This window comes from Homo sapiens, chromosome 6 (assembly GCF_000001405.40).
Source record: "Homo sapiens chromosome 6, GRCh38.p14 Primary Assembly".
NCBI classification, from domain to species: Eukaryota; Metazoa; Chordata; class Mammalia; order Primates; family Hominidae; genus Homo; species Homo sapiens.
The window spans coordinates 138,256,347-138,270,317 of NC_000006.12; the positions used below are offsets into that span (position 1 = coordinate 138,256,347).

Sequence of the window (13,971 nt, forward strand, 5' to 3'; positions counted from 1 at the left end):
AAAGATTCCTCTGCCTTCTCTCAAAGAACCAAACAGAAAAGTCATCAGTGTTTTTGTATTTGTGAATATGTTCATAAAGGTCAAATTGCATTTCCTTTTGTTATCTCAACCCCCACCCCTCCAAAAAACCAGAGTAGCAAAATTCCCTTGTTGATGATTAATTTATTTTAAGCAATCATTGCTGCCAACCAATATCTAGAAGTTAAATTTGAATTCTTTCTTGGTGTTTTAATGAGATTTTATTGTAATGAGTATTGGAAAGTTCTGACCCACTATTTCTAGAAATTAAGGAGTAGCCCAGATTTAATGACTGTTAAGAAAATCTATGAGCCCACGATAATAATTACCATTCTTTTTCTTGCCTACTATATGCCAGGCACTTCACATATATTTTTTTAATTCATAATAAATTTGTGAGGTTGTATATCAACTTTTATTTATTTATTTATTTATTTTGAGACAGAGTCTCACTCTGTTGCCCAGGCTGGAGTGCAGTGGCACAATCATGGCTCAATGCAGCATGGACCTCCTATGTTCAAGTGTTCCTCCTACCTCAGTCTCCTGAGTAGCTGGGACCACAGCTGCATGACACCACACCTGGCTAATTTTTGTATTTTTTGTAGAGACGTGTTGCCCAGGCTGGTCTCAAACTCCTGAGCTCAAGCAATCCGCCCGCCTCAGCCTTCCAAAGTGCTAGCATTACAGGTGTGAGCCACCATGCCCAACCATCAACTTTATTTTTTCAGTTAAGAATGTTACTTCTTTTCCCCACCAGAGCTTCAGGCAATGGAGGTCAAAAGGCCAGCTTTAAGAATTGATCTTCACTAGATGGGCAGATAAAATACAGCTTTGGAGGCCAGTGAGACTAGACCACACTTCACCACTCAGACAGCAGTGGCCCTTCCCCAGGGTCCTCCCCTACTACTGTTCAACTTGCATCCTGGAGGGGCAAGCGTGGGCTTCCTCTGATTGGCAGATCCCCGGGAAGATGGGAGAGAAAGGTGCTAGTGAGGCATGCTCAGCTCCTTATCCTAAATTCACCAGTCCGATCAGGGGCTCTTCCTGTACCTGGAAGAAATGAGAGGAAGGGAGAAGAGAGGCCTAGAATTTTACTGCACTGGATGGATGTTCCTCCTCATAGAAGTGTGATGCCAAAGGAAAAGGAAATTTCCTCCCACAAAGACACTTAGGCTTTAGGAGGTCAAATGGTTTGCCCAAAGTCCCAAAGAAAAAGAAAAGGTGCAAACCCTGGTCCAGCTGACCCTAATCCCACGGTCTTTTCCTGTATCATCCTTATCACTGGACATGACTCTCACATTGCAGCGCAAATGACCCCCAGCAGCCCCTTTTTCTTGGTGTTGGAACAGCTGCCCATTTCAGGAGCCTGAGTTTAAGAGTCAGGGTTCAAATCCTCTCTCTACCACACACTGGCTTTGTGATATAGGTAAATCATTTAACTCTGAACTTAAGAGTTTTCTCATCTGTACATTGTTATAATATTCCAAAGGTTGCAAGTTCAAAATGCACTAAAGTTTGCTTAAGTACTTTGTAAATATCAAGTGCTAAACAAATATGTGGTGTACTTATTGCTATTCTAAGGAAGAGAAAACACATGGAGGCTGAAAATAGCTGGTTCAATTCTAGCTGGCCTCCCTCTCCTGCCTGTTTTATTCCTTTTGTCTTACTGGATTTATGTCCATAAATCACCACTGTTAACAATTTTCCCATTGCCCAGGGCTCTCTAATGGCTCTTCATTGACTCTCCCATCAAGGCCGAGTTACTGTGCCCAGCTTCCAGAGCCTTCTTCCATCATTTGCATTTTCCATCACTTCCCTGGATGCACCTTCATCCCATGTGACTGATCTGCTTTGTTCAATTCCCACCTCCCCGCCTCTTCAGGGTTTTCTGTCCCTTATTCCTGTGGGTCACTCCCCCTTCACAGAATTGAGTGGTTAATTGCAACAGGCTAGATACCGCTGCCACTTCACATTAGCTTATTTACAAACTCCCTTAAGAAGATAATATTATGCCCATTTTCCAGATGGGAAAGCTGAGGCTCTGGGGGGAGAAGTGACTTGCCCAAAGTCCTTCATGTTGTGAGTCGTAAGGCTAAGACAGTGAAGCCTGGTGTTCTAAGTATGGCTGCTTCTTTGCTATCAAAATCCTTGTCCTTCATGGTTGGGCTTCCTCAGACCACTGATCGGGTTCTTCTTGAAATTCCATCCCGCCATTTAACAATTGATTATACGTCCCATAACACTGATTGTTTCACAATAGAATGGGGAACAAGCTTCTTGACTCCTCAACTATACTTTTGTATATAGATTGCTTCTGTATGTTTTCCCCTAGTATTTAACACTATAATGCTTGAATCAGAATAAGTGTTTAGTAACTTTTGACTGACCGACATGTGGACCTGAAGACAAAATGTCTACAAAGAGGCTATTTTATAAGCAGCAGCAACCTTTCTTTTCCCCTCAGAAATGACAGGCACTACAGCAGTCACTGCCCACAGTAGAGCCACTTGGTACCTGGATGCTAAGTAGATACTTTGCATATGGCATCCATAGGTCTCTAAATGTGTTTTAAATAATTTCCTTTGTACTGCAAAAGGAAGTTAGTTATGTTTATCTGTTCATCGTAGATGTTCTAGCTTCCCAAGGTCATTTTGCAGAGATGAGGCTCGAATTTGATGGTAGCACCCAAGTAGCACGTCCAGGCGGTGCTGCCCCAAGGAGCTCAGCAGACTGATTGGGGCCAGGATGTTCTGAAAAGTGGTGCCTCCACTTTATACGACAAAACCAATCGTTTGGGAAAGTTGGTAACCTAGATACCAAAATGTGCAGGGCTTGTGCACACAAAGAAAACCACTGGGTACCCAGGATGTTTGTTTAGCCTTTTGGAGTTTGAAGGCTTGGTATGTTATTTCCCTGTTCTCGTTTTACTTTGTCACTCTGCCATATGCACTGTGTGCCTGTTGATCAAGGACATACAGGACATTTTTGTTTTTCAAAGCACAGCCCCTTTTCTGCTTCTGATTTCCCCTTAAAATGAACAGTAACGAAAAAGTACACTTTGCTTCCTTTTCTCTCCTATGGCTCAGCTTTAGAAGCCCCCTAGTCTTTATCAGACCTCTGGCCCCCCAGCCACTGATCCCACAACTCTCATTCCCACCTGAAGAAGCTGAGATTAAAACATCTTTCGTTTTAGTTTTTGTTGAGGGTTCTCCAGAAACCTTACCAATCCATCCCTTTCCCTCCAGATTCTGAAGCAATTGAGAAATAAGTACAAGATTAATGTGGGAATTAAAATAGATTATCTTGGGAGGCCAAGTTGGGCGGATCATCTGAGGTCAGGAGTTCAAGATCAGGCTGGCCAACATGGTGAAACCCCATCTCTACTAAAAATACAAAAAAATTAGCTTGGCATGGTGGCGCACACCTGTGGTCCCAGCTACTTGGGAGGCTGAGACAGGAGAATCGCTTGAACCCAGGAGGCGGAGGTTGCAGTGAGCCAAGATTGTGCTGCTGTACTCCAGTCTGGGTGACAGAGCGAGATTCCATCTTTAAAAAAAAAAATTATCGAATTTATTACCAGTGAATATCTAATTTATTACCAGTGAAGCTGAATTTTAAATTGTGGTGGGATGCCAGGAGACAGTGAGGTTTTCCACTCCATCTTTTGGGAATACACTTATCCTTCCAGCAAGAGATGGAGCATCCTGAGGCTCAGAGGGTCCAGCCACGGGGCTGCAGGCCTGTAGAGAGGGGGCGAGAGAGAGAGAGGGAAAGAGAGAGCCTGCCTGACTTTAGCCCCAGCCTTGTCACTCTTTTTTTGATGTCAACAAAAAGTGGAAGCTTCGTTTATGTTCCTTCCAGAGAGCAGAAGTGTTCAATTTCTGTGGTATGAAAGAAATATGGAAAGAGGAAAAGAGGAGAGCTACTTAAAATACAACTTCTTCTATGTAATGGACCTTTTCCTGCTTTGCTTGGAGTATCAATCACTTTGAAGATGAATGGACATACGCTAGGACGTCTACTGCAGACACACTGCATTAACCTTCTTTCCTTGAATCAATTTAGCCTCAACTTGACATTTTCTATAGACTTCTACCGTATGTATATAAAAATGTGTTAGAAATGAACAATTATGAACAGTCTACATATGAAAACTTGTGAGAAGAAATAAATGGGAGGATATGTATAGCTTTAACTCCTTGTATTAAAAAGCAGAAAGCCTTAATGTCCTAATTCTCCAGCTTAGTTAGAAAAAAAGAATAGAATAAATTCAAAAAAAGTAGAAAGGAGGAAAAATAAGGATAAAAGAAGAAAGTAATTATGACAAGGAAATATAGGGGATTTTAAAAAGCAGAAAATGTTAGGACTGAACAGATTAAGAAAATTGAAAAACTGTTCTCAAGAGCAATAAAAATTTCAAAACAGGTACAAATAAACAGAAATAAAAATGAAAAAAGTACCTAACTATAGATATTACACACATTAAAGAAATAAAAGAGGGTATTAAGGCATCTTTAGAACACTCTATTTGAAAACCAGGTAAAATGGATAAGTCCCTAGGAAATAATGCAACTTTTAAAAAGTTGGTTCAAGAAGAAATTAAGGACCTGAATAGTCCTATAATCTTTAGAGAAATGGAGGAACTAGTTAGAGGATTCCCATTAAAATTCTGGCTCCATGTAGCTTTAGAAACAAGCTATACAAGCATTCAAGGAACAGGGAATTCCAATCTTCCATGAACTTTTTCAGCAATAAGAAAGAGGGCATACTTCTCCACCTAGTTTATGAAGCTAGCCGACTTGATACCAAAATAAGACAAAAAGAGTCCAGGAAGGTTATATTATAGGCCAATATTACTAAAGAACAGAGATCCAAGTGTTTTCTAGTTCTGTGCTAGAAAAGATTTTTCAACAATCCCTCTGATCATTTTCTTTGTCTAAGCCAGCCCTGAGCTGAAGAGCCAGGAGCCTGATACACACCATATGTCAAGAAGAAAACCTAAATCAGCTTTACTAAGATTGGAAGTTCCAAATAATTCTGTTTCTCCTTATACTATATCACTCAGTAGGGAAAGTACATGTTTTTTTGATCTCACAATTTAAAAACCTTGTGCTTTTTTGTGATATTCACTTTTCTGTTACTCTTTTACCTTTTTCTTTAAGATACTTGGGAGCCCACAGCGTCTCTGTGACTTGGCAGGACCCAGCTCCACTGAATCAGAGTCCAGAAAAAGATCAATTTCAAAAAGAAAGTCTCATCTGGATCTCCTCAAACTGTATGATGTTTATCCTTTTAAGTCTTTATTGAGGCTGCTTTTCTGAAGACTTTTAACCTTGCTTACAAGTCCCTGAAATTTTAAAAAATTCTACATTATATGAAATGTGTCTATTTAATAATTTACCCACAAGCTACATGAGAAGACATATCTCAATTTATTATAATCATGGAACTTTTTATATTTTCATATTGACTTAAAACCAGATGTACCAAGTGAAATATACAATAATTATTCATTGGGATTATTTTAGAGAATTTTTGATTTGCAATACTGTAACTATAGGATTTCTTCATATGTAGCCCCCCTAGAAAACTGAATATTATAGGGCTTGTAATAGTTGTATTCACATACATCTGTTCAGGAATATGTTTACTTTATAGAGGAAGGTCCACATTATATAACCATTATAACTATTTTCTATTTGAAACACTGAGCATAATACAAAAGTGAGGTTGTTCGGGAAAGTCATAAATACTCATCAGGAGCTTCTATTTGTACCCAAAAAACCAGTGAGCCAAGAAGGAGTGTGATTCAATGCAGACCACTTTTTTTTTTTTTTTTTTTTTTGACAGAGTCTTGCTCTGTCACCCAGGCTGGAGTGCAGTGGCACGATCTCGGCTCACTGCAACCTCTGCCTTCCAGGTTCAAATGATTCTCCTGTCTCAGCTTCCTGAGTAGCTGGGATTACAGGCACATACCAACCACACCTGGCTAATTTTTTGTATTTTTAGTAGAGACGTGGTTTCACCATGTTGGCCAGGCTAGTCTCAAACTCCTGACCTCAAGTGATCCGCCCACCTCAGCGTCCCAAAGTGCTGGGATTACAGGCGTGAGCCACTGTGCCCGGCCAATGCAGGCCACTTTATCTGAAGATCTTCCTCTGCCCACCTAGGCATGTTTGTTTCTTTTATTCATTGCCCAGACCATTTTGTTTTATTCAAATCAGACTATCTGTTTTGAATACTTTGCTGTTTGCCAGGCTAACACTCTTGTTCCTTTCAGAGATATTTTCTACATTTTATGCATTTATTCCATTTTCTCTTTTGAACACTGTTTAGCATCATGGATGGCATGACCGAAGCATGCATCAAGGGTGGCATCGAAGCTTGCTATGCAGCCGTGTCCTGTGTCTGCACCTTGCTGGGTGCCCTGGATGAGCTCAGCCAGGGGAAGGGCTTGAGCGAAGGTCAGGTGCAACTGCTGCTTCTGCGCCTTGAGGAGCTGAAGGATGGGGCTGAGTGGAGCCGAGATTCCATGGAGATCAATGAGGCTGACTTCCGCTGGCAGCGGCGAGTGCTGTCCTCAGAACACACGCCGTGGGAGTCAGGGAACGAGAGGAGCCTTGACATCAGCATCAGTGTCACCACAGACACAGGCCAGACCACTCTCGAGGGAGAGTTGGGTCAGACTACACCCGAGGACCATTCGGGAAACCACAAGAACAGTCTCAAGTCGCCAGCCATCCCAGAGGGTAAGGAGACGCTGAGCAAAGTATTGGAAACAGAGGCGGTAGACCAGCCAGATGTCGTGCAGAGAAGCCACACGGTCCCTTACCCTGACATAACTAACTTCCTGTCAGTAGACTGCAGGACAAGGTCCTATGGATCTAGGTATAGTGAGAGCAATTTTAGCGTTGATGACCAAGACCTTTCTAGGACAGAGTTTGATTCCTGTGATCAGTACTCTATGGCAGCAGAAAAGGACTCGGGCAGGTCCGACGTGTCAGACATTGGGTCGGACAACTGTTCACTAGCCGATGAAGAGCAGACACCCCGGGACTGCCTAGGCCACCGGTCCCTGCGAACTGCCGCCCTGTCTCTAAAACTGCTGAAGAACCAGGAGGCGGATCAGCACAGCGCCAGGCTGTTCATACAGTCCCTGGAAGGCCTCCTCCCTCGGCTCCTGTCTCTCTCCAATGTAGAGGAGGTGGACACCGCTCTGCAGAACTTTGCCTCTACTTTCTGCTCAGGTTTGTAAACAATTCTCTGCTGTATAGTCAACAAGATTATTCAGAGCAGTTTGCCTTAATGGGCAATTACTATCATGCTTATAGTTTGACGTGCTCAAAGCATATTAATGTATCTTTGGGTTTCCCCAGTTTAAAGAGGGCGAAGAAATCTAAGACCTATTAGTGGTGGTTTATTTGAATTCTACAGCAGTCGATGGCTGGAATATACTATGAGGCTGATAAATGTATAGGATGTAAAGTAAAGAATGAGAAGTAGCTGCATTCTAGAAAGGTGCTACTGATTGAAACAAGATGACAATCTGTAATTCTTAAAACATTGAATTCCCAGTATGCTTCTATGTCTTGGTGTCTAAAATTCATAGAGCAATGTACTTTTGGTGTATCAAAATGTAAACAATTTTGAATGCTGTCTTGGATCAGTTGCACGCCAAGTCCTCCCAATATATTCTGAATTCTAGTGAACATTCGAACAATGTGTGATAGTCTAGTATAGCTTGGTAACGTTGCATTCTCCCATCTCAGATCCTTCCATCTGTTGAATTGTGACTCAGACCGTAAACAGTGGTGCTGGGGGGAATAGTGGGCAAATCACATCAGAAAATAATGCTGGTATTATTGAAGGGCAGAAGAGAATCACTTAGAGTTTTGGTGGAGGAAGCAGATAAAGAATACAGGGAAGTAGTAGCATTTCACATAGTAAATAATTATTTTTAAGATAGTGTTCTTGAAAGATAATACAGAAAGAAATAAATTAATGGGTACATAAAATTTATGGTGGGAATAAATGTTGGTATGGTACCAGGGAGGTCATCTGTGCCTTTCCCTCAAGTACAAGGGTCTCTTGACCACAGAATACTGGGGCAAATGAATCTCCCTAAGCCTGTGCTCAGATCCAAAGGGCTGACCCTGGGAACTGACACAGAACTGCTAAAAAGCCATGATCACCACTTGCTCTTCTACCACTTAACCTTGAACTTGTGTTTGTCATTGTGCTTGGTGCATTTATCACAGTCATGTGTTAATGCATCCACCATCCCTTCTACCCTCCCCTCTCTAGACTCCCTGCTCTTTGAGGGCTGAGACCTTGTCTCACTTCCTTTTTATTTTCTAACAAAACTTCACACACATACATGAAAAAATTGTAGCCCAGTTACTGGAACTTGGTTAGAAGCTGACTGATGTGTAACTTAACAAGTATCTTTAAGAAGCTGACCAAATTGTCCTTTTTCAAGAGGACAAGAAAAAGACACTTAAATCTCTGTATATATAAGAAGGAACAAATTTTTTTTTCCTTTTTTTTTTTTTTTTCTGAGAGAAAGTCTCACTCTGTCACCCAGGCTGGAGTCCAGTGGTGCAATCTCGGCTCACTGCAAGCTCCGCCTCCCGGGTTCATGCCATTCTCCTGCCTCAGCCTCCCAAGTAGCTGGGACTACAGGCGCCCACCACCACACCGGGCTAATTTTTTGTATTTTTAGTAGAGACAGGGTTTCGCTGTGTTAGCCAGGATGGTCTCGATCTCCTGACCTTGTGATCCGCCCGCCTTGGCCTCCCAAAGTGCTGGGATTACAGGCATGAGCCACTGCGCCCGGCTGGAACATTTTTTAATAAGAGAATTATCCAAAGTTGTAGCAAGCACCAAAGGAGACACAGAATTTTTACTCCAGAAATTTTCACATGACCTAGAAAAGGATGTAAAGAGACATGATTTCTCAACTTTCCTAATTCTTATTTCCTAAGAATTTCATACCTTATTTCCTAATTTCACATCAATTTTTAAGGCTACCTAACATATTTTTTTCCTCAATATTTTTTCTTTTGGAGTTAAATATAACAAATTTTGGATTTTTTTATTTGTGTGTGTAACAAAATTCACGTTTTATTGGAAGACTAGGAAAATGTATACTCTTCCTAAAAAATTATTTTTCTCCCTAAGATCTTTTATATCACTGTCATTAAATTTGACATTCTCTTATTGAACATTCTAGGGGTGTGTTTTGTGCATGTTTGTGTCTGTCTGTCTGTCTTTTTGTCTCTCTCTCTCTCAGACACACCCACCCAAATCCTCCTTCAACCAACATTTATAGAGAAGCCGAATTGTGCTATATGCTAAGGTCCCAAGATATGTACAGCTTATTCTCAATAAATATTTATTGATTGTAAATTGATGAAGTTGTACTTCGGTCTCTCTCTCTTTTATTTTGTAACAGGGTCTGACTCTGTTGCCCAGGCTGAAGTGCAGTGGCTCAGCCTCCCAAGTAGCTGAGACTATACGCACCACCACACCCAGCAATTTTTTTTTTAATTTTATAGATACAGGGTATTGGCCAGGCATGATGGCTCACACCTGCCATCCCAGCACTTTAGGAGGCTGAGACGGGTGGATTGCTTGAGCTCAGGAGTTTGAGACCAGCCTAGGCAACATAGGGAGAACCTTTCTCTACAAAAAATACAAAAATTAGCCAAGCATGGTAGTGCACCTTTGTCCCAGCCACTTGGGAGGCTGAGGCGGGGGGATCACTTGGGCCTGGGAGGTTGAGGCTCCAGTTAGCCATGTTTCCACCACTGCCCTTCAGCCTGGGCAACCGAGCAAGACCCTGTCAAAGAAAGAGAAAGAGAGAAAGAGAAGAAACAAAAGAAAGAGAAAGAGAAGAAAGGAAAGGAAGGGAAGGGAAGGCAAGGGAGGGCAGGGCAGGGCAGGGCAAGGCAAGGCAGAGAGAAAGAAGGGAAGGCAGAAGGGAAGGGAAAACGGAAGGGAAAAGGGAAAGGAGAAGGGAAAGGGTCTCACTGTGTTGGAAAGAAGGAAATAAAGAAGAGATGAGGCCTCACTATGTTGTTCTGGCTGGTCTCAAACTCCTGGGCTCAAACAATCCTCCTGCCTTTGTCTCCCAAAGTGCTAGGATTACAGGCATGAGCCACTACACCAAGCCTTTTGGTCTCTTAAGATGTGCCATAGTTCGGCTGGGTGCGGTGGCTCACACCTGCAATCCCACCACTTTGGGAGGCCGAGGCAGGCGGATCATGAGGTTAGGAGATCGAGACCATCCTGGCTAATATGGTGAAACCCCGTCTCTACTAAAAATACAAAAAATTAGCTGGGCGTGGTGGCAGGCGCCTGTAGTCCCAGCTACTTGGGAGGCTGAGGCAGGAGAATGGTGTGAACCCGGGAGGCAGAGCTTGTAGTGAGCCAAGATCGCACCACTGCACTCCAGCCTTGGTGACAGAGCAAGACTCCATCTCAAAAAAAAAAAAAAAAAGATGTGCAATAGTTCATGAGCTAAGGGAGTTGTACATAAAGCCTCTCAAGTTGTTCTTTGGAAGCGATTGGTGGATCCTTTGAGTCTCTGCCTCTTCCCAGCTGGGAATATTCATATGGAGACGTTTGGCAGCCTTGGCTACTCTGACCAGCTTGGTGTCCCTTGTGCCAAGGCAGAGAGCCCAGCAAACATTGTTAGTCCCCAGAATAGCTGTGTATTAGAGTGCAGCATGGCCACTGGTTGCAGTAATAATGATGGCCTTGAGCCATCAAGAAACAGTAAAATTATAGTCAGGGTCTTCTATTTAAAATTAAAATTATCCAGGAGGCAGATGGATCACTTGAGGCCAGGAGTTTGAGACCAGCCTGGCCAACATGGCAAAACCCCGCCTCTACTAAAAAGACAAAAAATTAGCCAGGCATGGTGGTGCATGCCTGTAATCCCAGTTACTCAGGAGGCTGAGGCAGGAGAATCTCTTGAACCCAGGAGGCGGAGGTTGCAGTGAGCCGAGATTGCACCACTGCACTCCAGCCTAGGCAACAGAGCTACTCCGCCTCAAAGAAAAAAAAATTAAAATTATCCATACAAAATAACTCCACTGCCGAAGTTTCAGCACAATATATAAAATTTAGCTCTCAGATAACTTCTTTATCAACACATCCCCAGTAATTCCAGATGAATGAATTGTCACAGTGGTGAGGACTGACTTCCAAGGGACCACCCTCATTTCTTATAAGAATTAAGAAATATAATCCTAGCAAAGTCTTTTTAAAATTTGAGGCTAAAGCAGGTCTTCAGTTTTGTGTCTTTGTACCTTTCAAATCAATACTTATTTATAGTACATGCAAAACAGGGCTTGTGTGAATTTTTTATGTGGTCAGAATATGGCCCAATAAATGTTGCAGACTGCCCAAATTTTAGAGTTCCGTAAATTTCCCATCAGACCAAACATGTTTTATGAAATTATTTTTTAAACGTAAAAATCAATACATTGAAAAGAGACTTCACAAATGTTTGGTTGTTTTCAAATATCATTTTTATTGACTGTAATTTAGTTGTAGGTCTATTTAATTCTAGTGACATCACAGTATTTTTCTATTCAGGAGTTGGACTCTCTTTCCAAATTACAGACCCATCACTCTGTGGTCCTGTTACCAACAGCTAACTCTCTTCCATCACTGCTGTGGTTCAACTGGTGGCACTGATCGTTGCTTTGGCTACCCCTTCAGCCACTGGGTGCTGGCCTGTATCCATCTCTGGACTGAGGCATGTCCTCTTGCCCCCTTGCAAGTGCCACTTCCATGATTAAAAATTAACAAAAGAGAAAACATTATGCTCCACTGAGACAGGGAGATGGCAGATTTCCTTTGTTCCTCTAAGAGAAAGTTATGAAAGTAAAAACAGAAGAGTGGGAGAAGGGAAAAACTCCCTGAGTTATAAACCCTTTCTTTGACTCATTATTTATTTTGATGTCAAAAGCTTCAAACCTCACTTTGTCATAAACGTCCATCAAGCCTTCATCCCTACCCTGTTATCAGGGGGCTGCTTTCTCGGCTGAATCACAGTCACTCAGTGTTTCTCAGTGACTCCTATCTTCAGACAGCTAATATGCCATTGAAATGAGCCTCCTTAATTCTACAGGATTCAGGAGAGCCTTTCTTTTCAAAGCAATTAAAGTTTCATATGGTAGGGGAGTTTGAAAATGTTCGGGCAAATAAAGTACGTTTTTTATAAAGACAGTGCTTGACATGAGCTGCGATTGCTGCAGAAATGCCTCTTTGATCCTGGATAGAACAAAGTGACGTCTGTGTAAGGTGGTTCCTCAGCACTAAAGGAAGGTCCCAGCCTTGCACGGCAATTGATCAAGGGTCATCGGCACTGACTTTGGATTGCTGTTCCTTAGAGTAGCGGTTTTCAGTTGCAGTCTTGTGACTTACTTTGACCAAATGTAAGGTTCGCTGCAAGCAATATTTTATAAAGTACCAGATTTCCTAAAAGATAGTGTAGCAAGTATAAATCTCAGTTGTACAAGATATATCTATTTCTTCACATTAAAACAAAGCTGACTGTAGCCCCTCAGCCTGCCTAGCAGGGAGAACACTTGGTCTCTGCCCTCCCTTTATTTCTCATCCCAGGGTCAAACCAGAAGCTGGAGCTTGTGTGGTATCTGTAAGGGGAGGCCCCCTCACCTCTTATATCACCAGGGAGCCCCCATTATCTCCAGTCATAGGCTCCCTAAGGGTCCCGTGATTTTGCTACCATTATCCTCCCTCCTCGGGTGTCCCGCCAACCCTGCAGGTACTACCAGGCGGTGGGCAGCCACAGACCTGCAACCTCTGCCCAGCCTGGGCTCTCCCTTCTCTGCCTCACCGCTTCTTCCCCTGTCTCTTCACCCTCTAAGGAATGGGCTGAAGTCTCTGGAAGGAGCTCTAGCTTTGTGACTACACAACCAGGAAGGCATTTATGCCGTTACCAGCCTCAGTTTTTGGCTCTGTGGTTTAAACACCTCAAAAGATGGCAAATACAAGTTTACCTTGCTATCTTTATATAATACAGAAGGTAAAATTACAGGAAGAAAACCTCAAATAAATAAATGAGTATGTTATGCTGCCTCTGTCAGTTAGGATTAGGTTTCTTTGCATCTATAGAAAATGCAGATGACGGCCTGGCGCTGTGGCTCATGCCTGTAATCCCAGCACTTTGGGAGGCAGGGGTGGCAGATCACCTGAGGTCAGGACTTCAAGACCAGCCTGACCAACATGGAGAAACCCCGTCTGTACTAAAAATACAAAATTAGCCGGGCATGGTGGTGCGTGCCTGTAGCCCAGCTACTCGGGAGGCTGAGGCAGTAGAATCGCTTGAACCCAGGAGGCGGAGGTGGCGGTGAGCTGAGATCGTGCCACTGCACTCCAGCCCGGGCAATAAGAGCCAAACCCTATCTCAAAAAAAGAAGAAAAAAAAAGGCAATATTACTACAAAAGGAAAGAGATTCATTTCCTTTCCTCTAAATTGAGTCTGAGGTCTGATCTCCAGAGCTCCATGATGATCAGGGACCCAGGTGCTCCTGTCTTTCTGCTCTACTCTTGTTAATAGGTGACTGTCATCCTCAGGTTTCCTCATGAACTGAGACAGCTGGTGCTGGCGGAGCTGCTGGCTTCTCATCTATAGTCTGAGCAAGAAGGAAGGGGGCAAGGCTAGCAAAGGAGCCACCTGAGAGCTAAATACGGCTGCTTTCAGGAGCTCTCTGGAAGCGCCACACAACAACCTCAAGTTCACTGACCCCTCCTAGGAGACAGGGCACATTGCAAGCCCAAGTAAAGTCATGATTCTATTACCAAGTAAGAAGAAAATGGTTTTATATAGTAACAAGCAGTTTCTAATACAGCACCATATTTTGTTGTAAAAACCAACTATGGATTCAGAGTTATCCTTATTGTAATGTCATTGGTGAA

The 13,971-nt window shown here is 42.8% G+C and overlaps 1 protein-coding gene across 3 annotated transcripts in view; it reads left to right on the top strand.

Annotated features, from left to right (window-relative positions):
- The window catches only part of ARFGEF3 (ARFGEF family member 3), a 182,725-nt gene that overhangs the window by 94,408 nt on the left and 74,346 nt on the right, over nt 1-13,971 (top strand). For all 3 annotated transcript variants that reach the window (XR_001743524.2, NM_020340.5, XM_047419108.1), the window contains 2 exons: nt 5,181-5,293; nt 6,355-7,265. Coding sequence is in view for 2 of the 3 variants with exons in the window: in NM_020340.5 (NP_065073.3) it covers nt 5,181-5,293; nt 6,355-7,265 (1,024 nt within the window). In the remaining variant the exon portion in view is untranslated. The remainder of the gene's footprint in view (nt 1-5,180; nt 5,294-6,354; nt 7,266-13,971) is intronic.